Source organism: Homo sapiens, chromosome 20 (genome assembly GCF_000001405.40).
Source record: "Homo sapiens chromosome 20, GRCh38.p14 Primary Assembly".
NCBI classification, from domain to species: domain Eukaryota; kingdom Metazoa; phylum Chordata; class Mammalia; order Primates; family Hominidae; genus Homo; species Homo sapiens.
In genome coordinates this window covers 21,085,245-21,107,961 of record NC_000020.11, presented here as the reverse complement: position 1 = coordinate 21,107,961, position 22,717 = coordinate 21,085,245, and the positions used below count along the sequence as shown (strand labels likewise).

Sequence of the window (22,717 nt, the reverse complement as noted above, 5' to 3'; positions counted from 1 at the left end):
TCCTTGTCACTGCAGAGCATACGTAGGCATGAACTGCCTGGATAAAGATAGTCAATATATTTTTCACCGTTGGCTTATGAAAAAATATCACATCCATATTATGGCATTTCCCCCTCTGCACTAGCTTCTTTAGGATGTATGAATTTCACCTAGCAGTATGTGTGTGTGTTGAGTTTTGATACCCATCTCTTTGTGTGTTAGTGGACAGAGTAGAAAAATGCAGACAACAGATTAACAGAAGAGAAAATAACTCATGAGCGGTCTTGGACACATTTAATATTATCAATGATATTCTGCGATAAAACATAAGCGGGGGTAGTATTTATGTACTTATTGGCTTACTAAATTGATCACATTTTCTGGTGGAAAAGTTAAATGCAATTTAGCTGCAGAGGATTTGGAACATGCCCCAGTTTGGTATTTGTTTATACTTTATATTTTAAAAAGGGAAAACAACTTGATTTAATCTCTGATTTGTGTAGAAAACTTGGCTTGCCAACTTATTGAAATTCACAGCTCTTGCCCAGAGGAACTGGTCTTCCGCTAAAAACTAGCCTTGGTTTATGCTAAGGTGGCAAAAGACTTAATTTGGGAATTACATTTCTTCCAAAGACTAATTTCAAACTAGGTATATATATTTTTAAGTTGGTTTGCAGATTCACATCTACACCACCTCTTCCAGAGTTGGGGGATGTTTTCCCTCTTGTTTATCGTTTTGCTGGTGTGAATGCTGAGAATTAATTACTCTCCTTTGTAACACTAAGACAACTTTTAATGATCATTTGTTTCTTCTATTGTATGGAATGAAATCATAAGAAGTTTCATTTAATTGGTTTATTCATTTAAAGAGATTCCTTTAATTGAAATAGAGAAAAGGAAAAATAAAACCCTAGAAAATAAAACCAGGTTCTAACCACTCCAGGGCGAAACGCGTAAATCATTTTAAAAATGAATACCCCAAATTAAGAATTTAATTTTTAAAACTCTTTATGTCTCTCTCTCCACATTTGTAGTATGTGAAAGGCAAGAGAGACCCTTTGAATCAGGGAAAAGTTATTCTTTGAAATGACATCGGTGATCTGATTCCCTCTGTATTTCAACCGCATTAACTTCACACCGTCCACACTGGGCAATGAAGATGCTCAGAGTCAGGTCAAATTCACCCTCCTGAAAAACTGCAAATTAAGATGCTGTTGATTACACATCACCGGCTGTCTTAATCATCGTGATCAAAATCCAAATATTAAGGAAAGTGGCCTGGGAGGGTTACGTTTGGGCTTTTGACAGACCCTCAACCAAACTCTGACGCCCAGCCTGCGCGTTTCCACATCTTTTTCCAGGCAAGAGGCTCCACCAGCCCGCGTGGGGCTCGCAGTGTTTCTCTAGAGTGGCTAGACATCCCCCAGCCCCCAAACCCAGACACACCCCGACCCCCGCGAATGGTTCTGGGCTGTCAAAACACGCGGCGGCGTGTTCAGTCCCAATAACTCGCGTGATGATTAATGAGCAGCTTGATAATTTAATATCGCGTGTGATTAAATTATAAGGCGTGGGGGAGGGGAGCTCTGCGCCACCTCGGCAGCCCCGCCGACGCCGACCAGCTAACCGGACTGGGCTGCGCGCGGAGCCCCCTCTTCCCGTGCACAGTGCGGGGCGAGGCTTGGCGAGCGGTGGGTCTGCGCCTTCCCAAGGTCAGTGGGTCTGGAGAGGGGAGGACGGCGGGACTGGGGGTGGCGGAAGGGATGTCTTGCAGAGAGGAGGAGAGGTGTGGGCTCAGGGTAGCTCTGGTCTGAGCCGATGAGCAGGGCGAGTCATCGACTCTTTCCCCGGCAAAGGCGCGTGGAAGGCTGGAAAATGGCCTCAGGCAAGGGAAGATTTGTTTTTAAAAATTCCTCTTTTCTCTGCCACGGGGGCTTAGAGAGTCCCTAGGATTCGGAGACCCCTGGGGGGAAGGGGCGCCCCTCTGAGTCTCTCTCTGGATCCCATCCCCCCGACCCCGCCCCGCGCCTTGACTTTGTGGGGTTTCCCCGCAGGCCGGGCCGAGGTGGCGGTCGGGTTGGGCCACCCCAAGCCCCTTCTTTTCCCCAGCCCGCAGAGCCCGGCCTTGCCTAGTGCTCGGCGGGGTTCAGGCAGGTCCGGGGGAAGAGGGAGTGGATGAAGCCTGCGAGAGCCGGAAGCTGCGGGGAGGCAGAGAGACGCCCGCAAAACTCTAGGCGCAGAGTCTCCGGGGTTTCCAGCCGGATTCCTAGGGGAGGCGCGAAAACCCGATCTAAACTGAGGTTACTGGAGGGACTCCTGGCCGGCACTCTTTTCTCCTGAAGAGGTCGTTTAGGGGGGCTCAGGCGTGGCCACTCCTTCCCCTGGAAGAAGTGTGAGCGCAGGGCCCTCGCCGGGTGAGGGGGCCGGCGGCGCTCACACTGTCCCTGCCGCCGCGGCACAGTCCTGCCCCGGCCCAGGTAGGCGGTTGCTTTTGCTGCTATGCAGAGCCAGGTCTGCTCCGGGGGCTGCAGCCTCAGAGGGGTACCTCGAGAAACCACTTGCGGGACACAGGGAGAGTCGCCTCTTATTCCATGGCTCTGTCGAAGGGCTGAACTTTTAGCCCGAGGAGGGCAGGCCCTCGACAGGTAGGGATGTCCCCAGAAGACCCTAGGAAACAACACCTTGGGGTGGGGGGCGGGGGACGGGGGGGTTGTTCAGACCCAGAGCGGGAGGGTGAAAATTAAAGCGTCCTGACCAGGGCTCCAGAGGGCTCGGCGTCCAGGCTGTGCTGGCTGGATTTTCAGCTGGGAAATGGCATTCGAAAGGGGACCCGGTGGGCTGAACCCAGGCTGCCCGCTTTCCTTCACCCAGAGAGGCCCTGCAGAGCGCCAGAACGGCGCGCCTGGTGTCCGGTGCTTCGGGCTCCAGGTGCAGTGGCCGAACCTTCCTCCTAGACAAAGATGGAAGCTTCCTAGGTTGGGCTCCTTGGATATGCAGCCATGACCATTTCTCTCCCAGCTTCTCCAGATATTTGGAGGTAACACCAAGGAAGGGGAAAATCATGAACAACCAAATGGGCTTGTAAACAGAGGTCACAGTATAGAAAAAATATATGAGTGTGTGTGTACGCGCCTGTGTGTCTGTGTGTCTGTCTGTGTGTGTCCTCTCAAAACACCCAGAGAGAATATGTAAACAAAACCTGCCTAGCTAGAGCAGAAACAAGCCACAAATTGGTTCTAGGAGGCTCAGCCTGAAATGCCCCAAATTAGCAGAGGATGTAGGTTGTGACTGCAATTCCAGGATATTTGGAACACACAAAACCCTTCTTAGGAAAAAAAACAGTAAGTCAGGGGTTGGAGGGTGGGGGGCAGAGGAGAAGTGCTCCGAAGCTGCCCCGCGTCCTGGGCCCCCAGCGGCTGCAGACCTGGTTGCATCTTTCTCCAGGGGCCGCACCTCTCTGTCCTGGCCCAAAGGCCCTGAGAGGAGGCCACTCCCCTCAAGGTGAGTTAGTGGTAACTAAAGAGGATTTATGGACAAGGCTGTTGCTTGCGGCCGCCTCTGCAGCCGGAGTCATTTTAAGGAGAAGCAGCCTCTGATATTACTGCTGACGCTCCACCTCGGGGTACTGACCTGACCAAAGGCCAACGCTCTGGTTCCCGCATGCCGCTTTTGTCCTTGTTATGAAAATCATTCCTTAAATTTGCTCCTCATCTGTGCTGCTCTCAGACACAAACTGACCCCCTTATATCTGGTGCCACCAAAAATAGTGGCTGGGCCCAAGGAGAACAATTTAAAAGCCCAGGACTAACCTGTTTCTCCCAAAGGTACCACACCTAATTACAGCATTAATAGTGTGCGCCTGGTGGACGCATTATATTTCCCAGGAATTACATTTGTTTTCCAGAAGCTGGACTGGGAAGGTCCTAGACAGAAGTGAGTCCTTGGAAGAAAGGACTGAGCGTCTCAGTAATGACATGGAGGTGGGGAGGGGGTGGGATAAGGGACTCCAAACTGGGTTGTATTTCCCAGATTATCGTCAGTCTGCTGCGTGACTGATGCCAGGAGACTAACAATTCCCAAAGTTGCGAAAGGAAAAACAGTTAGTCTTATACCCCCGTCCACAAGATCACTCAAGTCTAATGATTTCGGACACCTGCAAGATGAGTCGATCAGTGACGCGTGGGGTGGCATTGTTCGCTCGACGTGCCAGGACGCCAGCGGTGCTACCTTTTCCTGTCTCCAGAGCGCGAGTTGGCGCACATTGATTTCACCCCTCGCTCTCCGCCCCGCTGCCGAACACCATTTAGGCCAAGATCGGGTATAATGGGAAACACCATCAGCAGACAATTACCCTTTCAGAGGATTCACTTCTCCTCACAGACACTGTTATTTGAGAAATAGGATCATTTGATTTCATATTGCACTAAATAACACCCAGCCGGTTCAAATTGCCAGCTTCTTAAAAACCGCCCATTGGAATAAATTGCATCGGCCTCTTTTGCTTTTCAGGGCAATATGATGGGCACCGGGCAGAACTTGGAAAAATAACTACAAAGCCAGCCCCGAGCCGTGGCTATTGGTAGGGACAGCCCTGCCACCCCGCAGGCAAAGGCATCCAGCCATCTAGTTCCCTGCCACCGCCCCCTCCACCCGCCAACTTTGAGATGGTTCAACCTCTTGACTTTGGAATTAAAATGCACAGCCCCAGCCACCCCAAGGAAGCGCTTAGAGCCACAAGGCGCTTTCGTGTTGAGCAGGGAAAGATGGGCAGGTGTGCGAGACACGCATTTCGGTGTGCCCTGCCACATTGCTTGCAGCGTTGGCGCGTTTGGACAGCGCCTCCGGTTTGGGGCTCTGAGGCCGGGGAGTGCGCCCTCCAGCTTCGCGGGTCTGGGGTTCCCAGGGCCAGACCAGCCGCTACACTCTGCACACCAATGCGCCCTCCAGGCCTGCCGGTCGCGACGTCCTTCTCCGCTCTCAGCACAGGCGCCAAGCCGGGAGTCAGGGCTTCCGGGTCCAGCTGCTGACAGAAGGAGGAGCGAGCTGCACTGGGGCTTCAGCACCGAGTCCAGAGGGAGAGAGAGGCGAGCGGGGTGAGCGGCCACCGGCGAGCTGGGGTTCGCTGCACACCCATCACCACAGACATTTCAAAAAGAATCAAGCCTTTTGAAGTCTGCCAGAGCTGCGGTTTGTTAATTGACACTGTTCAACTGAGTGACAATTGTTCCGCTCAGTGGGGGCCATCCACTCCCTTCCTCTCTCCCCCTCCTTTTTTTTTTTTTTTTTCTTATAAAATAGGAATTAACTCCTTGGTTCTCCGTTCTTCTGTGCCAAGGGGCAGGATTTATTTAAGACGGCAAGGGCTTTGGCGATTCTGTGCGTTGAAGTCTTTCTCACATTTGCGTGAATGTACTTCAGGAAGGCCGTGTTAAATTCTCTCTCTCCAGATCCCAGAGGGTCGCCGCTGCACCCCTGTTCCGGGCATGAGCTGGAAAGGCCCTCTTAGTGGGTCCTGTGACCTGGAGCGAGTTAGTCTGAGACTTTGGGGACAGGGTGGGAGTCTTTCTCCTTCCTTGACACTGGGAGGAGCCAGGGAGCAGGGGGTTGTGGGTATGCGGCTAGAGGGAAGGTTCCAGACACGTCGAGAGTGGGAAACTTAAATTCCCCTCTCTGGTGTAGGCGCAGGCTTTAGCTCCAGGATCTTTTCTGGGTAAGGAGTCGGTGCCCGCTTAAGATGGCATGATAGGTAGCAGGGGGCCTCAGCGTGTCCTCACTCTCCACTTGGCCTTGAAGTGGGGACGCGGAGCCGCGCCGCTCCTCGGCGATTCGCCAGGTCTCTGTTCGCAAACAGCTGAGTTGCGAGGCCCAAGTATACTTAAAGCAAAACCTCGGCCGCGGGCCTTCAGCACTGCCCTCCAGGCCTGGGGAAGATACCGCGATGCCCAACTGGCCACGCCACCAGGTCTGGCCTTGCGTATCCGCCTCCAAGGATCCAAAGCCGGCCTGGGGCTGTCCAATCGAGTCCGTGGAGAGCCCGGAGCTACTCCATCGCCGCCCCTGCCCCAAGGCGGTCGCGCCCTCACCCCTCGCCGCACTCCGCCCCCAACCACCCCCGCGTGCCCCCGCCAGCCTCTGGCCCCTGCACTCAGCTAGGGGGCTGTGTTCCAACTCCCACCTCCATCCCCACGGTGGCGCAGCCGAGGAAACCTTTCTTGACCAAGGCCAAGCCCAAGCCCAAGCCCAATCGTGACAGCTTTTCCAGGAGGCAGGCACTGGGCGGTTAAATTCGAAGGAGCGGGAAAACACGTCTTGCCCGGCTCCAAAGTTAGCTGCCTGAGCAAAAGGAAGGGCGGAGCTACCCGGTGGAACGGCCTAGCCGCTAGCGTGGCTACTCCAACCTGGGGCCCGAGCCCCTGGAGCTGGCGGCCGCGGACTGCGTCCCTGGGGACACTGGAGGGGACTCCAGGGACAGCGTGGGTGGGCCTTTCCCCCGCACGCGCCTCTGTCACTCTCTTTCCGGGCCAGAGCCGGGGCAGCGCTCTAAATTAAGGTCGACCTCCAGCGCTGGGTGAAGTCTTGAGTCCGCCCGGGAGCCCTAGGTGAGGGTGGTCGCGGTTTGGCGGGGGCTAGCGGGTCAGCCCCTATTTCTGCCCCCACCCCGATTGCCTCTCGATGTCGGCCCCCGCGCTCCCTCCCTCGCCGGCGCTCCCTCCCTCGCTCGCGCTCCCTGTACGTCGCCGCGTTTACCAGCGCGTTTTGTTCCCCTGTCGGATTCCCGGCCGAGGGGCTGTAACCGTGTTCTCCTCCGATGGACGCTAATCAAGTAATTTCCCCATCCCAGCCCCATCAAATTGCTCTTTAGCTGTTGAACCGCGGAGTTTTGCTCGCCTTTTCACATGCTAATCACGCCCATTCAGCGGCTCTCGGTGGGGCTGTTTGTCGCGGGATAAATCTCCTTGTTTGCCCGCTGCATGATTAATTGATATTGTTGTCTGGCTTTTGTGGGGACTGCGAGGAGCTGAAAGGCGGCGCGTCGTGGCTGCGCCGGGGCCGCTAGCGACATCATCGGGCTGCCGAGGTCCCGGCGAGGTCGGGCCGGGGCTGATGACATTATGGGCCCGATTTGGTTTTCCTTGTTAGAAACATGATGAAAGACTTGGAAACCTCCTGTCTTACAACCCACCAACTGGGTGCAGAAACCGCCCGGCGTTTAAGCCACAAGCTCAGACAAAGCCCTGGTGTTTGCTCAATTCAGGGGAAAAAGTGGGTGTCACTTCTCCACGCAGGAGACAATTAAATCTTATTTCGGCCCACCCGGGATTTCAACAGAGTTGAACATGAACGCACAGCATAGTGGTTTGGTTTTACAAAGAACAAAAAGAAAAAAAAAATGTTTTTGGGGTTAGCGGTTGTAAAAGCAGGAACCAAAGGTTAAAACTCCTAAAAAATAAGTAAACGGAAGCCAGAGCCTCCCTTGTAGGCAGCGGTGGAGGAAAGTTGCGCAGAGGCGCTTCCACGCCGGGCCCCTAGCGATGCAGTTTGCGGAAACGCCACTCCCTTCGAATCGCCGGCTTCGGTGAAACCCCGGGCTAACGCTGGGCTCGCGCGATTCCCAAGGCCCGCGTCCGTCTACAAGCCAATGTTTTATTTGACATTACTGGTCCCGGCTCGTGGCTGTATTTTGCCGCCGCCCGCAGGTGTACAGTCAAACCAACAGATTCCTCCGCCCCCTGTACCCCTCCCACCCTCTCCGCTGAGCACTGGGGTTTTATCCTCTACGGGCATCCCTAAAAACTTGAAGATTCAATTAAATAATTCCAGCTACGAAGTGCTACTACCGCCTGCTTATTGCAAATATTTCCTTTTTCGAGTTCTTAAAAAAGAAAAAAAAGCGAAGAGAAGAAACTGTCGCTTTCGCTTTCACTGCGGGCGGGGTAATTGATAGGCGCCATCGGAGGTCAGAATTTGCATAAGAATTAAGAGCAGTAAATTAATTTAATATTCCATGCACATCTCCAATTATTCCTGGAGACCTTTGTCTCCGCGGCTGCCAGAGAGGGGATTCAGCTGCTCTTCAGCCAAACAACATCTGTGCGGTTAATAATTTGATAAACAGCTCATACAGATAGTTTCTGAATTATCTGGCAGCCCAATGACTATTCAGTTTGGAAACGTTTTGGCAGTGTCTCCCGGAGTCCTCTGAGAGCCTCAAGCACCCGCCCTGACAAATGTCTTCTTATCTTTTAAACATCAGCAGACGACAACGTGTAAAATAAGTAATTATCATTAAGTAATAACTCTAACCCTTATATATATAAAAAAAGAAGGGCGCCTGGGTCATCAGGGTGTCAGCAGGTCGTCTGTCAGGTACCCCAAGATGAAGAAATATGTTGGGGAGTGGGGCTGGGTGAAGAATGACCTGAAGGGGAAGAGAAGACCTGGGTGCTGGGAGGGGCTGGATGGGGATAGGGAGCTGTGTTTTTAAAGATCATGGATTGAAATTGAGTGACAATTCGCGCATGGAAATATCTGCAAGGAAGGCTCACAGTTGCCACTTGAAAGGAACCAAGGTAGGTGGGCTACAGGGAGACCAACTTTCCACTGTGCTGTTTCTTGAATCTTTCACTTTTCTCCCCACGTGCGCAGGTGTTGTTTATTTCAAATATAAATACATAAAAATAAATTGCGTTTACCAGAAAGCAGGGTAAATTATTTTGGCTGGATATTGTCCTGCCTGGCTCGGGGCTATCCTCCTCCTGACCACTGTCCTTCCTATCTTCACCTTCAGCCAGTGCACTCGCATCCTGAAAGCAACTTCCCAGAAAGCACAGGTTTATCCAAAACCATGGAGAGGGCACACATCCTTTCACAGATTTAGCCAAAGCACTGAGTTGGCCCAAACTGGAAAGGAGGCACTTGTAGAATGAGGCTGCTGTGTTGTTAAAACAGGCCTGAATTTAAACACTTACCCCTTGCTCTTCTTGTCTCTACACTAAAGATTTCATGGCTGCGATTATGTTCTTTTATCTTTCTGTTACCCAGAGCAGAACCTGTTCCTGATAAAAAGCCTAGAAAGGAACCATTTGATCTTGAATGAGACTCGGGATGCTCTAATTCGTGCAACCTGCACATTGCAGCTCTGTTTACTCCAAGCCTGTGTTTACCCTGGAATTGTTCTGCACCCTCTGCAATATAATAGGATGTTCGAGGAGGATCTTTATCTCTCTGTCTATACATTCCCACATGTTTGATGTATACACCTCACCCATTCAATATTCTACTTTCTATTTCCTATACTGCTGACAATCTAAGTACTTGAAGCCACTGAAAACTACCTAGAAGTTCTGAGGAGTGTCAAAGCAGTAACATGCTAGAGCTTTGTCCTGGTACTCTAATGAGCCCAGGTAGCATTGAGCTTTAAATACAGGCAAGCCCTTCAGACTACAGGTTTAAATATACAACTTTACAATGAATACAATGCTTGCCTGGGCTCAATTGAAGAATTACTTTTCCAGAAAAGAAGTCATTGTGTCACAAGAGTATGACAATAGCATTTCTACCGGGCACATTCATTTCTATTTTCAACATTTTCTTCTTGCATTTCATTAGTTTTTTTCCCCATAGAGCTATAGACACTGCTGGGCCATGCAGGCTTTTATACATATAAAAATGATCTCTGCTATTTATGATTGGGGGTCTCTGTCTGCATCCTATTATTAATTTCTGACTTTGATTCAGACTCCTCTAGTCAGCAGAGTGATTTGAAAACATTTCTTTTCTTAAATGGAACATTTTCAATCCTTTGGGGAACCATGCTAATTTTAAACACCAACATATTCAGTTTCTTAATCTGCAGCCACTGGTGTTGCTCATTTTTATATACAGAACCTATCCCCTTTGGCGCTAGTTCATTTATGCTTGATATTTATCTTCTTTACATTTGTTTGACTATTTTTCAAGGCAGTATATGGGCAGGAAATGGCTACTAAACAAGAAGGCAGGGAGCTTGTATTATATTTTTGACTATGTCAGTAAAGCTACAGAACATGGAAATGTTGAGAATTTTTTTTTAAACTAATGAGCCCTCTCCAGAAAAGCCGTCTGGATACCATTAAAGTTGATGAGTTTGGAAGGCTTATCCTGATAAATGCTTGGCTTTTTTGGTGATTAGACACATATTTTCAACACAGTCTACTAACTGAGACTGAGGTTTGCATTTGGAGAGAGGTTTGTTGAGCATAACAGGAAATTGTTGGGGGGAAAAATCCAAAGTACCACTTTACTGTATAGGGTTCAAATCAGAGGTAACTGCTACTCTTGTTCACTTGCACAAAAATATTAGAAATATAATAATGAGTTGTGTCCAATAACTTAAATGAAATAAACCTTGGTAATTTTCAACCTACATGTAAAAAAATATACACCTTATATCTTGGGAAAAGTTAAAGAATGGTTAAGGCAGAATAACGATTTTAAAATTTAGTACAATCTCTATGGAGCATAAAGGATTTTTTTTTTAAATTGACATAAAAGAACAGTGCAGAGCCATTTAACAAATTTTTCCAATAAACAATTCATTTGCTTTCATTGCCCCCTTTTTTTAATGACCATTTGTACATTGGCCAACTTAACCCCAAATCCAGTCAAAAAGTGAATTTGAAAAATTCAGGTTAGCATGTAAAAGTTATGAATAGGATCCGCTTAGATAAACCTGTCACCTTTCATTTTCTTCTATTTTAATGTATAAATGAGCTGTGCTGGGTGGGCTTAACCTTCTAGCATTTCCATCTGTGATACAGAGTTCCAAAAGAAACAGCTTTGTCGGCCTGTGGATAATTGGAAGCTACAGAAGCAAGTTCAGGTTCTTCAGAGATGACTGCAAAATATCTCTGATATCCATAGATTTCAGCTAGCCCCGTGGTTCTTTCCTCTCCCTCTCCTGGCTAGGATTCCAATCCGACAGGTTGAGTGTCACATAGGGGTGCCCTTCCCATCATTGTTGATTTGTGTGGTTTGTATGGTTTCTAAGACATTGTTTTGGTGTTTGTCAGTAAAGTAACAGGTGCATCTAAAAATCTGTACCACGGGGCTACATGGGCTAGCAGTGAGGCTGGCTGGCTCTGTTTGAAAGCATAGGGCCTTATGCTATTTGCTTTGGCCACAAAGTCCAATCTAGCAACCTCATGTAGGCTGAGCCTGAGAGGGCCTCCAACGGCTTATTCTGCTTTGCTGCTTCTGTGATGAGGGGAGATGAACCTTGCAGAATACCAGACTCTTCAGCATGACATTTGAGCCCTGTTGCAGTCTGGCTGGAATCCAAGTGAGGGGAGTAAGGAAAAAAATAGTGTGCAGAAAGGCTTATAGTTCCACTTGTCCACTAACTAGCTATAGGCACTTTGGCAACAAACTAATCTTCCAGGGTCGGAGACTCCTGTCTGCCACTCGTCATCATTTATTCTATTCTCACTGGGCACACGGCTGACCAGCTGAACTACATTTCCCAGCCTCCCTTGCAGCGACACGAGGACCATGTGACTAAACATTCGCCAGTGGCATGCAAGTAGAAGTGATGTGCGTAATTGTCATCTCATACTTGCACCTCCCTGTTCCTTCTTGCTGGCTGGGAATTACACTAATGAGAGTCATGTACTGAGGAAGGCAACGGTTCCCCAATGGCTGGGTCCTGAGATGACTTCCAGGAGCAGAATCTGCCCTCCCATCCTGGACTGCTTATATGGCGATAATAAATTTCTGTTTTGTTTGAAGAACTGCAAATTTTGGTTCATTTTGTTATAGCACCCGTTCAAAGTAATCCCCGTCCTGGCTTTATTTTTCTTAACTGCAAAATGAAAGCATCTTAGTTTGGGTTTCTCCAAAAGCAAGCAATGTATTACCGAAAGGTGATCTCTGGAAACACCAGTAAGGGAATGAAGTTGAGAGACAGAGAAGGGAAGGCAACCATCAAGGTGTATTATAAAGCAGGTTACCATTGTGGGCACCTGGAATTTAATTCTACTGTGAGCTCTGGGAAACGATGTAGCACATACTTGAGCTGGAATATGTATAGACCAATTCCATCAGTCACTGGCTGAGGGCTACTCTGCTGGCATTATTTCCTCAGCACTTCTGGCCTGTTGCATAAGCAGAGTGAGCTTCAGGGGCCAAGAAAAAGTTCCCAGGCAATGAAACACAGGTGCTGGTGGTTGGTCATTGAGCTGGTACACGCTGATGTAGACAGGTAAGGAGCTATCAACACTGACAGCATCTCCTATGGAGGGCATCACATGGACTGCCTTAAAGATCTCCTTCCCACAATAAAGCTATTTGGGCCAGATTTATTGATCTATATTCTTCTAGTTGCTAACCTGAAATGCTTGCTCTAGCCAGGTTGGTTTATCCAATTTAGGGCTCCCTAATACCATATGTGCTCATTCTCATTTTATTTATGCCACCTTCTCATGTGGAAAGCAGCTCATCACGTGTGTACTCCTCTTTATCCTACTGTTTCACTTATCTGTTGCTGCTTAATGAATCACCCCAAAACTTAGTGACTTACAACAACAACAGTTTATTTTTTTTCACAATTCCATTGGTCAGAATTTCTAGCAGGGCTTGTTGGGCACTTTTCTAAGAAAGGTCAGCTGGGCTTATTTATGTGGAAAGTCCAAGACACTCTCTCACCTCCCAGGGCCTGTCTCCACATGACCTCTAATCATTCTGTACCCTAGCATGGGTTTCTCTTCTGCATGGCAGCTGGGCTCCAAGCGGGAGGCAGTGGAAGCTGCTAGTCCTTTTAAGGCCTATGCAACCAGAAGTCCCAGACTGTTACTCCCATCTCATTCTACTGGTCAAAGCAAGCCACAATGTGCAGCCAGATTCAAGGGGAAGGGAAAAAGGCTCCTCCTCTTTTTATTTACTTATTTATTTATTTTTGAGACAGAGTCTCACTCCATCACCCAGGCTGGAGTGCAGTGGCGTGATCTCTGCTCACTGCAACCTCACCTCCTGGGTTCAAGCGATGCTCCTGCCTCAGCCTCCTGAGTAACTGGAATTACAGGCACGCACCACCATGCCCAGCTAATTTTTTGTATTTTTAGTACAGATGGGGTTTTGCCACATTGGCCAGGCTGGTCTCAAACTCCTGACGTCAAGTGATCGGCCCACCTTGGCCTCCCAAAGTGCTGGGAATACAGGTGTAAGCCATTGTGCCCAGACTATTTATTTTTTTAACAGACAGGATCTGGCCATGTGGCCCAGGCTGGCATGCAGTAGTGAGATCATAGCTCACTTCAGCCTCCAATTAGGACTACGGTGTGAGCCGCCACTCTTCCTATTGATGGGAAGAGCTACATGGAATGGGAAAAACTGAGGGTGGTTATATTCGGATACTATCATGCTTACCCACCCCTCTTTCCACTTATTCAAATCTCCAAGACACACTCTTATCCTATTTCATGTAGAAAGTCTTTCCCATCATGCTAGTCCACGGGGGTCTTCCATGCTCACCCCTCAACTCCTAGGGCACTTCTTATTATACACACTTGTTATTTTGTCTTTAATCATTTACTGTCTTGTGACACTTTTTGTTGCCTCTTATTGTTGGCTCTTCAAGGGCAGAAAATGCAAGTTAGAGCTCCAAGAACACTCTGTACAGTTTGAGTACATAGTGGAGTCTCAACACGAGTGTCTGTGCAAAGCTGAAAGAAAGACCCAGAAGGGCTGGGTGGAGAGAGTGACCAGCATATATCTGCCCTTGGGTTAAGATTAGATCAGTAGAACTCATTTCTAGTAGATTTCTCTACAGTCTTCAACTGCTGATTCTGAAAATTAAATAATTCTGAAATCCTCCCAGCATAAGTGAGGCTTAGGTGATGTAAACATCTACTTCAGGAATGGCCAAATTTGTTCTCACTGGAATGTATCACCTGGAAGGCTTCCCCTTCCCAAATACCACACCTCTCCTCCATCCCCATCATGACACACCATTCCTTTGGGTCAAGCATTGCCCTCTTTTATGATACAAGTACTGCCTGTTGGAGATGGAAAGGGAAGGATAGGGTATACATTTGAATCTCTGGTGTCTTAGTGCAAATGAACTGATAAGAGCAAGTGTTTCTCTTTCTCTTACAGAAGAGACTGGGGCAGCATGAATGTGCTGGAAGATTAGAGGCTGCTGATGCTGAAGGAAGGAGAAACGAGGAGGAAGTGTCCCTGTGGACAAGTCATCTCCCTTCATTTAAGCCAGGCCAGTAGTCCGGGAGACATTCTGAATGATGCATTATCCTAGGCACCAGAAAGTATCTAACATTCTCATGGACAGCAGGGAAAAATGAGCACATGAGACAGGGGAAGATTCCAGCACCTGTGAACATGTTTGTGCAGGTTTCCAGTCAGTACATGGATATCCCTCAAGCCTTTGAATCCAGTCTCCTGTGTTGTGATTGGACCGTTTGTCATTAGGTTTCCAGTGGCAGAGTAATGCTGTGGGAGAACTGGCTACGATGGCCGCAGGAGGTGAATTAAGTATTGTTGTGTTTTTAGTAGAACCACTAAAGGAAGATCTGCAGGCAAGTTGGATGAGTATAAGAGCCAAAGATTGACAAGACTTCCTCAGATGCTCCTACTGACCAGTGGGGGCACTTCTACAGCTCCCCGAATATGTTCTCCCTGCAACCCCCACCACTTTTTAATTAAATGGCCAGAACTGCCTTTTTGTATCAAAACTTATTTTAGTCTATCAATCAAAGGCTTCTATAGCCCACCTCATGGCAAAGGATATCAGAGAGGTAAAAGATAATTGTTTTGACATATTTATTATCACAACTAGCGACTCTTTCTGCATTCACATTGGCTGGTATGCAGAAAAGGGTGCTTTACAGGATTCTTGGAAATGTGTAGTGGATGCTGGCTCTAGGGGAGGCAGAATAGAGTGTGGGTTCTGCCATGGGTCACATCCGGGTTTTAATTCTGCCTCTGCCACATGACCTTGAGCACACTGGAAAACCCTATTAGATGTGCAAGAAGGCTTCCCCATCTGTAAAGGTGGGTGACTTAGCAACTTTAGCAATGCTTAAGTCACCCGGTTGTTGTGAGTAATACATAAGTTAATGTATGCTAACTTTCTAGAAAGTTTCCTGGCACAAAGTTGTATTTAATAAATGATTTTTAAAACAAGCTCTTTTTTGGGGGTTAGTTGCCATCTGATCATCTAATCACACCACTGTTCTTGTAGACTGTGTGTATGCATTTTCTATTCAGCATCAGAAAATATACATAGAAGCCTGCAACTCCTAAAGATCGGGAAGAAATCCAGAGGATCTAGGAAGACTGGCCATTCTGTTAATTGAAAAGAATCTTTTGGTGCCAATTTGAGGGATTCATAAAGAAGATGAGCCATTTAAGCCATAACAGAGAGGAATTATCTTTAATCATTGAAATAACAGATGATCTGGTTATAACAATTGGCAGAAGCTCCTGGATGTGGCTCTCCCTTCTACCTAGGGCATTCAACCTCAAAGTGCCTACCGCCTGGGCATTCCCACTGCTGCATCATTACAATTTCTTGTAAATTTGTAAAGAAGCCCCTTTCCTTTTGGATGACTCCTAGTTATTGAAAGTTACCCTTTTTGTCCTTCTCTGAGTTCCAACCACACTGAGACTTGATCGTCAGATACGAATGTTGGTAAACACTCCTTTTTGTTCCATCTTTATCCCTTGATCAAGCTTCTCGTGCAATAGTACCCCCCGAAATAAACCAAGAGTAATCCTTCCAATCACCTCTTTCTCTTCCAAAGGGTATTTATTGGTTGATAATAGTACAGAATAGTACAGAATTAGCAGAGTCCTTGAACACTGGGTGGAGTAAACATCTCCTGATGGACTCTTTAATTGAGTTGAAGCACCCTGACGAGGGGGTCTTAATCAGCCTTTTCCAGTTATTAATAGTGATTTGTCAGAAAGCCAAAACTAAGGGATTTTGGAAAGAACCAAAAGAACTCAGTATCTTTACAAAACTCCTCTCTCAAAATTGGAAAGAGAAAAAAAATACCTGGAAAAAATTAAAGAAAGACAAATACCAAAGAAATCTGGGAAATTGCTGGAAATGAATGTGCATACAGATGTCACTTTTCTGAAGGCAGTTAGATTCTTGAGTTTCAGTTCACTCATCATATTAATATGTGCCCATTGCCAAGGATATATGCTTCCAAGAAAATAAAGGCAAGTTTCTTGGCATCTGTGTCTCTACATCCTGCTGCGGAAAACTCATTAAAGAGCCATTCTTGATGGCAACAGGAAATGTAAATGAAATGGACCCCTTTTTAGTATTTGGTTGAGACGGTCCTAATGTTTGGTGGAGTCGTTAAACCTTCTCCAAGCAATATTCACAAAAATTAATAGAAGTTGTCAATTCTCAGCATCATTAAATTTATGTCAGTAGTCACCATTGGAGGGAAATGGAAGTCACATTTGCATTGCAGAGTGGCGTCAGTAAGAAACTAAGGCTGTGGCTCCACTTTTCAGGGATGGGAGGGTTTGCACAATCTCTTTACTAAGTTTTTAATCAAGTTGCTAGTCCACTCTTTCTTTTATGGAGCCATAGAAGTGTCTGTAATGAAAGATTAAAATGGTCCTGTGCAGTGGTTTGCAGTAGCTATGCCCAAATAAAATATGACGGCTCTCTCGTCGGGCCTATATGTAAGCAGAGGGAGCTGCTAACAAGCTGCATTATGCTCTCTGTTGTGCATACTGATTGCAAATTGTGTGGGTTACCCTGGATGCCATAAAAAAAGGTGTGTGTGTGTGAGTGTGAGTGAGAATTTCTTTCCCCCAAATGATTATGCACCTCATGAATAGCAAGCAATGGAGCATCGATGCTCAGATTTCCTGTAGCAGAGGTAACACACACACACACACACACACACGCACACACACACACGCACATTTACACACTGACAGGCTAATGGCTACTTTCCCAAAGAGTGGTTAGAAAGAAGTAGTAAATGGGACTGTGTTGATGCCAGGAGAAGACCCGGGCAAAGATCAAGATACCCAGCAACATATCGGATAACACATAATTGGCGGGTCACAGCCAAATGAGTGTAGTCATGCATCTCCGGGCAGGCCTTTGCTGGCGATAAAGACACTTGTAAACAATTCAGTCCCAGAACATGGCAATAATATGTTGATCCGGCGTGTAATGAGGTGTTCCTGGAATCAATAAGCAGTCATGGAGAGCAGGGAGCAAGGGCAGCGGCTGTCTTTTTGATGACCTTTCCTCACCACCAAGGACCTCATCTCCCCTGAAGAGGACTTTTCTCATTTTGCAGCAAGCTCCGAGTGTCAGAACTTCCATCCGCAGCCGGCAAATGAACAGCCAGGCCCTGCATGCTAATGAAGTCCAAGCTATTTTGCACCTTTTCATCCGCACATTATGCTCTTGACTCTGGAGAAGGTGGGAATTAGGCCGGACCCCGGTGTCAGACTGCCTGATGGCTCGGCTCCGGAAAACTGGTAATTGAAGCTGATGACTGATGCGAGGGAGGCCTGAATTTGGAAATAAACAGTTTCAAGCACTGCATGTCATTTCTAGAGAAGACTGCTGAGAGAATGGAAATGAGCTTCGTTTCTTGAATCTAATGCAGTTTCTCAGCAGGAAAAACACCGTCTTTTAGACAACAATGCCAGTCATTAAGATTTAAATGTTCTGGCGATAATAGAAGAACTGGCCTTCCTGTTCACAAACAGCACTTATGTAAATGTCTTTCAACACCCAGATCTTCATTTAATCCACGCCCAAGAAGATAACTGTGTCGGAAAGCGGAACCAAATGCAATTCGGAGTCTATAAATATCGTTCATAAGAAGAGAGAGGAAAACAGTAAAATTGTTTGCCAACATATCACATAGCATTGCCTGTCAGCGCAGGAGAAAACAGCAGCTCTCTGCTGAAACAATGGAAAGACATTCAGACGTCTACATAAAAACACACTGAAGCTGCACTTTGACTGATTATTTTTGTATTGCTGTATTTCATTACAAATAATATGCTACCCTTTTAATGTGGAAATGGCATAAATATTTCCTACCTTATATGCGGAACCCATATTTGGACAGTGAATCCTCATGTTTAATGTTGCAGGAGAAGCCCAAATCTAGACGCCTTCGCTTGTAATCTTTTCAAATAAGCTATTTTATCGAGTATTTAATTTTCTCTTAACATCACTAGGTTGTCACAAAACCACAGACTAAACATTGCAAATTGTTTTAGTCCCATCTCCCCAGTCGGCTGAGATTAATTGGACATTGTTTGCTGTATGCAAAAAGAATGACTCATAACCCAAACATAGGCTTTTGCGTTTTAAGAGGCTTTAAAAATCATTTTTACTAGACATCCCTCCAGCCCAATTCTTCCTGTGCAGGTAAAACACCTTCAGGGAGAGAATTACGAGCCCAGCGAAGAGAAGAAAGAGGCCACTGTTATTTATCATGGCAGGCCCGGGGTGATTCATGAATAACCATCGGTTTGCTTTTTTCTCGTTTCCCTTCCCTACCAGAAGTGAGGTTTTGATATTTCAAGCCTTTTTCAATTTAATGGTGACATACAGGATTCTCACAGGCAGTCTCTGGTTTGTTAGAGACATCAAGGATATCAGCACAACTTGAGAGAAACCGAAGGGTGTTATTGTCACTTCAGTTTAAAGGTAGCAAACCTATCTTGCAAAGGATCAACACTGAATTATTTCAACCTTTCAAAAATATAGATAAATAATACATTTCTAATAGCATACTTGTGGATACTAGATACATCAATGAATATTCAGCAATCCTTTGCATGAAATATATGAAACTCAATGAGAAAAAGGTTAAATCTTACACACATGCACACACATACACGGGCACACCTACTCCTCACTGTGACAATGTTGCTCCATTCTGACATTATTCCTGTGTCTCATGGGGTCTCCTATTACTTAATGGCTAAAAAAGAGGAAGAAAATTGGGGTCGCTACAATCTGATAATAATAACCACAGGGTTCTCTGTGCATGGGTTACACATACACTAGGAATGCAGTATTCGTATAGTGATTCCTTCCAGGTTCAGAGCACCGAACATGTTGATTTTTTTTTTGGAAAAGCTTTTATGTATATTTCATCATTGGACTCTCATCACAAGCCCATGGCTCAAAGATCTATTTTATTAACATTGTAAGAAAAGGGAAACAGATAGAAACTGTTATTTTTCTAAGGTCAATAGCAAATACAACAGTGAGGCCAGAATCAGAACTTTCTGTTTGTAATCATTTGACATGTTGTTCTTTTCTATAAATCCACATTTCCCTGTGTAGATACTATCAATAAAGAAAGTTATGCTGTGTTAGGCTATTTCTACTTTTATCTTTCACAAGCACTACCTTTTCTATTGCTGTTATGAGGTTGAAATTATTCCTACTTCCAAGACTTGCAACTCCAATTGTCCTGAGAAAGAATAGCTGGAGCAAGATTTCTCCAGTCTTTATTGGCCACAGATGGTGACTTCTGTAGTAATAGTATAGCGTTTGTGTGGAGAGTGTTACCTGGATGAGAAGGAATGACTCAGCATAGCTTTGGTTCAAATCCTGGCTCCATCACTGTATCAGTAATAACAGAAATGCAGAGTGGGTTTGCTCACGTAACCAGAATTCTAGACGTAGGTAGACTAGGGTGGAGGAGAACAGGCCCCATGATGCTATCAATGTCCCGGGTTCTTTTTATCTTTCTACGCCACCTTTATTCACGGTCCTATAGTGACTGCGGCAGTTTCAGTCATCTCATCTGAAGGAGGAAGGAGGAGGAAGGGAAAGGCAAAAGAACTACTCCTACTTTCAAGGAGCCTTTTGGGAAACAGCTCCACCCTCAACTTGCAGCTGTAATGCATTGGTAACAATGTAATCACATGACCATTTCTACCTACAGGGAAGGCTGGGAGGTATGAATTTGAAGCTGGACACGTTGCTGCTCCCCTTAAAGTTTGGATTATTTTACTAAAGAAGAAGAGAACAGGTACTGTGTAATTAATTGGCAGGAGGAGTTTGCTGCCATAAACACTTGATGTGTGAATCCACGCTAGTTCCCTAGCTTCTAAGCCTCAGTTTACTCATCTGTCACCTGGGAAAAAATATTTGCTCGTTCCTCACTATTATATCAGGAATGAATTGTGAAGATAAAATGAAATAGTTCACGTAAAGTGCCCATTATAGTTCTGGGCACATAAATGTTAAGAAATGGTAATTTAAGAATTAAGGCATGAAAATATGTTCAGCTTTACTAGAGACTGGGGGAATGCAAACTAAAATGCCAACAAGATGTAATTTTTCTTTCCTTTCCAAATGACAAAAATTAAAGTGAACAACAATGTTTCATTTTGGCAAGGTCATGGGGAAATGGCACTTTCATAAGCTACCATTGAGATGTAACTGGGATGATGTTTTTGGAGGGTAAATTTGACAGCAGTCCTTCTTCTTTGTCCTTCCTCAAGCCACTCTAAGTAGATATTTGCACAAATTTATAGAGACCTGTCTGACAATGGTCTCTGAAGCACTGTTTGCAATAAGAGAAAGAAAAAACTGAACCCATTCAAAAGGGGAATGTTTAATTAAACCATGGCACATCCATGCCATGGCTCTCTAGGCAGCAGATTAGAAGAAGGGAGATCTGTTGGCATATAGTGGCAAGGAAAGAAGGAAAAGAAAAATGCCAAGATCCTGTTAAGCGAAAACAAGTTGCAAAATGACATGAAGAGAATGATGTCAAATTTTTAATTCATAATCCATACTGCCCCCAAATAACTTCTTTCTGTCTCTATCTCTATGTCTGTCTCTCTGTCTCTATCTCTGTTTCTGTCTCTCTCTCTACATATATAGTGTGTGGGTGTGGGTGTGTATATATATGTATACTATATATGTACTCTATATACTATATAGAGTACATATATACTATATATGTACTATATATGTACTATAGTACATATAGAGTGTATATATATACTATAGTACATATATACTATATATAGTACATATATAGTGTATATATACTATATATGTACTATATATAGTACATATATACTATATAGTGTATACTATATACATATATAGTGTATACTATACATATATAGTATACACTATATATGTATACTATACATATATATAGTATATGTATATATAGTACATGTATAGTATAGTATATGTATATATATAGTACATGTATAGTATAGTATACTATATATAGTATATATGTATATATAGTATACTACATATGTATATGTAGTATACTATATATAGTATACTATACATATATAGTATACTATATATAGTATACTATATATAGTATACTATATATACATATATATACTAGTGTATACTATATATACACTATATATGTACTATATATATAGTACATATATAGGTATCCATATATAGATATGTATCTATATAGATATGTATCTCTCTCTATATATATAGATACATATCTATACGTATATAGATATAGATACTTGTGATTGTATAGCTAATAGTCTGGAAAGGTATGCACCAAACAAGCCATGATCACCTCTGGGACTTGGAGAAGTGGAATATCAAACGAAGTTCCTTTTGGCCTTGTCTGTAATGATTTACCTAAATGACTTTGTAAATGTACATTTTGATTGCAATATTGTTGAGAGGCAGTTCTCTATAGATCTCTCATGTTTCTGCAAGTCTTGTGAACAAAGGCACTAACAGGTTTTGTTCTAGACTATCTTTTCAAATATGTTCATATAGTGAATAGCCTTGGAAGTTAGAGATGGGTCTCTGTCTGAGGAGGGGCAGATTTGTTTGCTGTGCAGTATAATAAAAATAATGTCTCCTTCTGAGACAAAGTTTAAGCAGCGTTTGCTTAGAGTCCCTTTACGAGACTGATGTTTCCTAGGCTAAGATTGTCTGATGCAAATGCACTGCGTGTGCAGCTTCCACCAGGGCTAATCTCCACGTCACCCCTGTGGGTCTTGAGGGTTAAAGGGAGCTGATACAAACAGAAGCTTATGATTCCTGTGAATAATAAAGTCCTTTGTCTCTGACCTAGGATCTTGTGTCTTCTACCAGTATCCATGAGATTGTGGCAGGCTAAAATCACAGACTCTTCAGAGTTTTCATAATGATAAAGTAAATATTGCAAAGTACACATACAATAAGTGTACAATTGATGAATCCTACAAAGTGAACTCACTCATGTAACCAGCACCAGATGAAGAAAAAAACATCAGCAGCATCACAGAAGCCCCCCAAATGTCCCCTTCAGTCAATAGCCTCCCAAAGATAACCACACTCCTATCTAGCAGTGTGGGTTAATTTTTCCTGTTTTTGAACTTTGCATATATTAAATCATACAACATGTACTCTTTTGCGTCTGAGTTTTTTGGTGCAACAATATAAGATTCACTTGTATTATCTCATGTAGTTATGGTTTGTCATAATCATTGCTGTATAGTATTCCATCATGTCGATAAATTTATTGATGGACATTTGCATTGTTTCTAGTTTTTTACTATGCAATTATTTATTTTTTAAAGGTGAGTGTATTTACATTTTACTTATATAATTTTTATTGTGGAATTTTCAATCATGAACATAAATAATAAGAATGGTATAATGATTCCCTGGACAACCATGGCCCAGCTTCAAGTATTAACTTCTGACTTTTTGTATGATGAAATTGTAATTACAGTT

General features: G+C 45.0%; 1 long non-coding RNA gene across 4 annotated transcripts, besides 4 other annotated features; it reads left to right on the top strand.

The window, feature by feature from the left end:
• Nucleotides 1-1,603: 1,603 nt before the first annotated feature.
• LINC00237 (long intergenic non-protein coding RNA 237) lies at nucleotides 1,604-22,386 on the top strand. Of its 4 annotated transcripts, NR_190205.1 has the most exons (4): nucleotides 1,604-1,691; nucleotides 14,110-14,765; nucleotides 19,932-20,018; nucleotides 22,074-22,386. It is a non-coding gene; the product is annotated as a long intergenic non-protein coding RNA 237 (long non-coding RNA). The 4 variants fall into 4 exon arrangements; NR_147212.1 differs by lacking the exon at nucleotides 22,074-22,386 and having other exon boundaries at nucleotides 14,110-14,224; nucleotides 19,932-20,358; NR_190203.1 differs by lacking the exons at nucleotides 19,932-20,018; nucleotides 22,074-22,386 and having other exon boundaries at nucleotides 14,110-15,153.
• Nucleotides 4,731-4,780: an enhancer, noted in NCBI's record as "active region_17616". NCBI's record gives its function as "activates an Ori minimal core promoter by ATAC-STARR-seq in GM12878 lymphoblastoid cells {active_cell/tissue: GM12878}" and the evidence as "EXISTENCE:reporter gene assay evidence [ECO:0000049][PMID:35858748]".
• Nucleotides 6,311-7,180: an enhancer, noted in NCBI's record as "OCT4-NANOG-H3K27ac-H3K4me1 hESC enhancer chr20:21081423-21082292 (GRCh37/hg19 assembly coordinates)". NCBI's record gives its function as "activates a minimal SCP1, AML or CMV promoter by ChIP-STARR-seq in naive H9 embryonic stem cells {active_cell/tissue: H9 hESC(naive)}" and the evidence as "EXISTENCE:reporter gene assay evidence [ECO:0000049][PMID:30033119]".
• Nucleotides 11,380-11,674: an enhancer, noted in NCBI's record as "tiled region #9877; HepG2 Activating DNase matched - State 1:Tss, and K562 Activating DNase unmatched - State 3:PromF". NCBI's record gives its function as "activates a minimal TATA promoter and a strong SV40 promoter by Sharpr-MPRA in HepG2 and K562 cells {active_cell/tissue: HepG2 | K562}" and the evidence as "EXISTENCE:reporter gene assay evidence [ECO:0000049][PMID:27701403]".
• Nucleotides 17,482-18,033: an enhancer, noted in NCBI's record as "OCT4-NANOG-H3K4me1 hESC enhancer chr20:21070570-21071121 (GRCh37/hg19 assembly coordinates)". NCBI's record gives its function as "activates a minimal SCP1, AML or CMV promoter by ChIP-STARR-seq in primed H9 embryonic stem cells {active_cell/tissue: H9 hESC(primed)}" and the evidence as "EXISTENCE:reporter gene assay evidence [ECO:0000049][PMID:30033119]".
• Nucleotides 22,387-22,717: the final 331 nt, after the last annotated feature.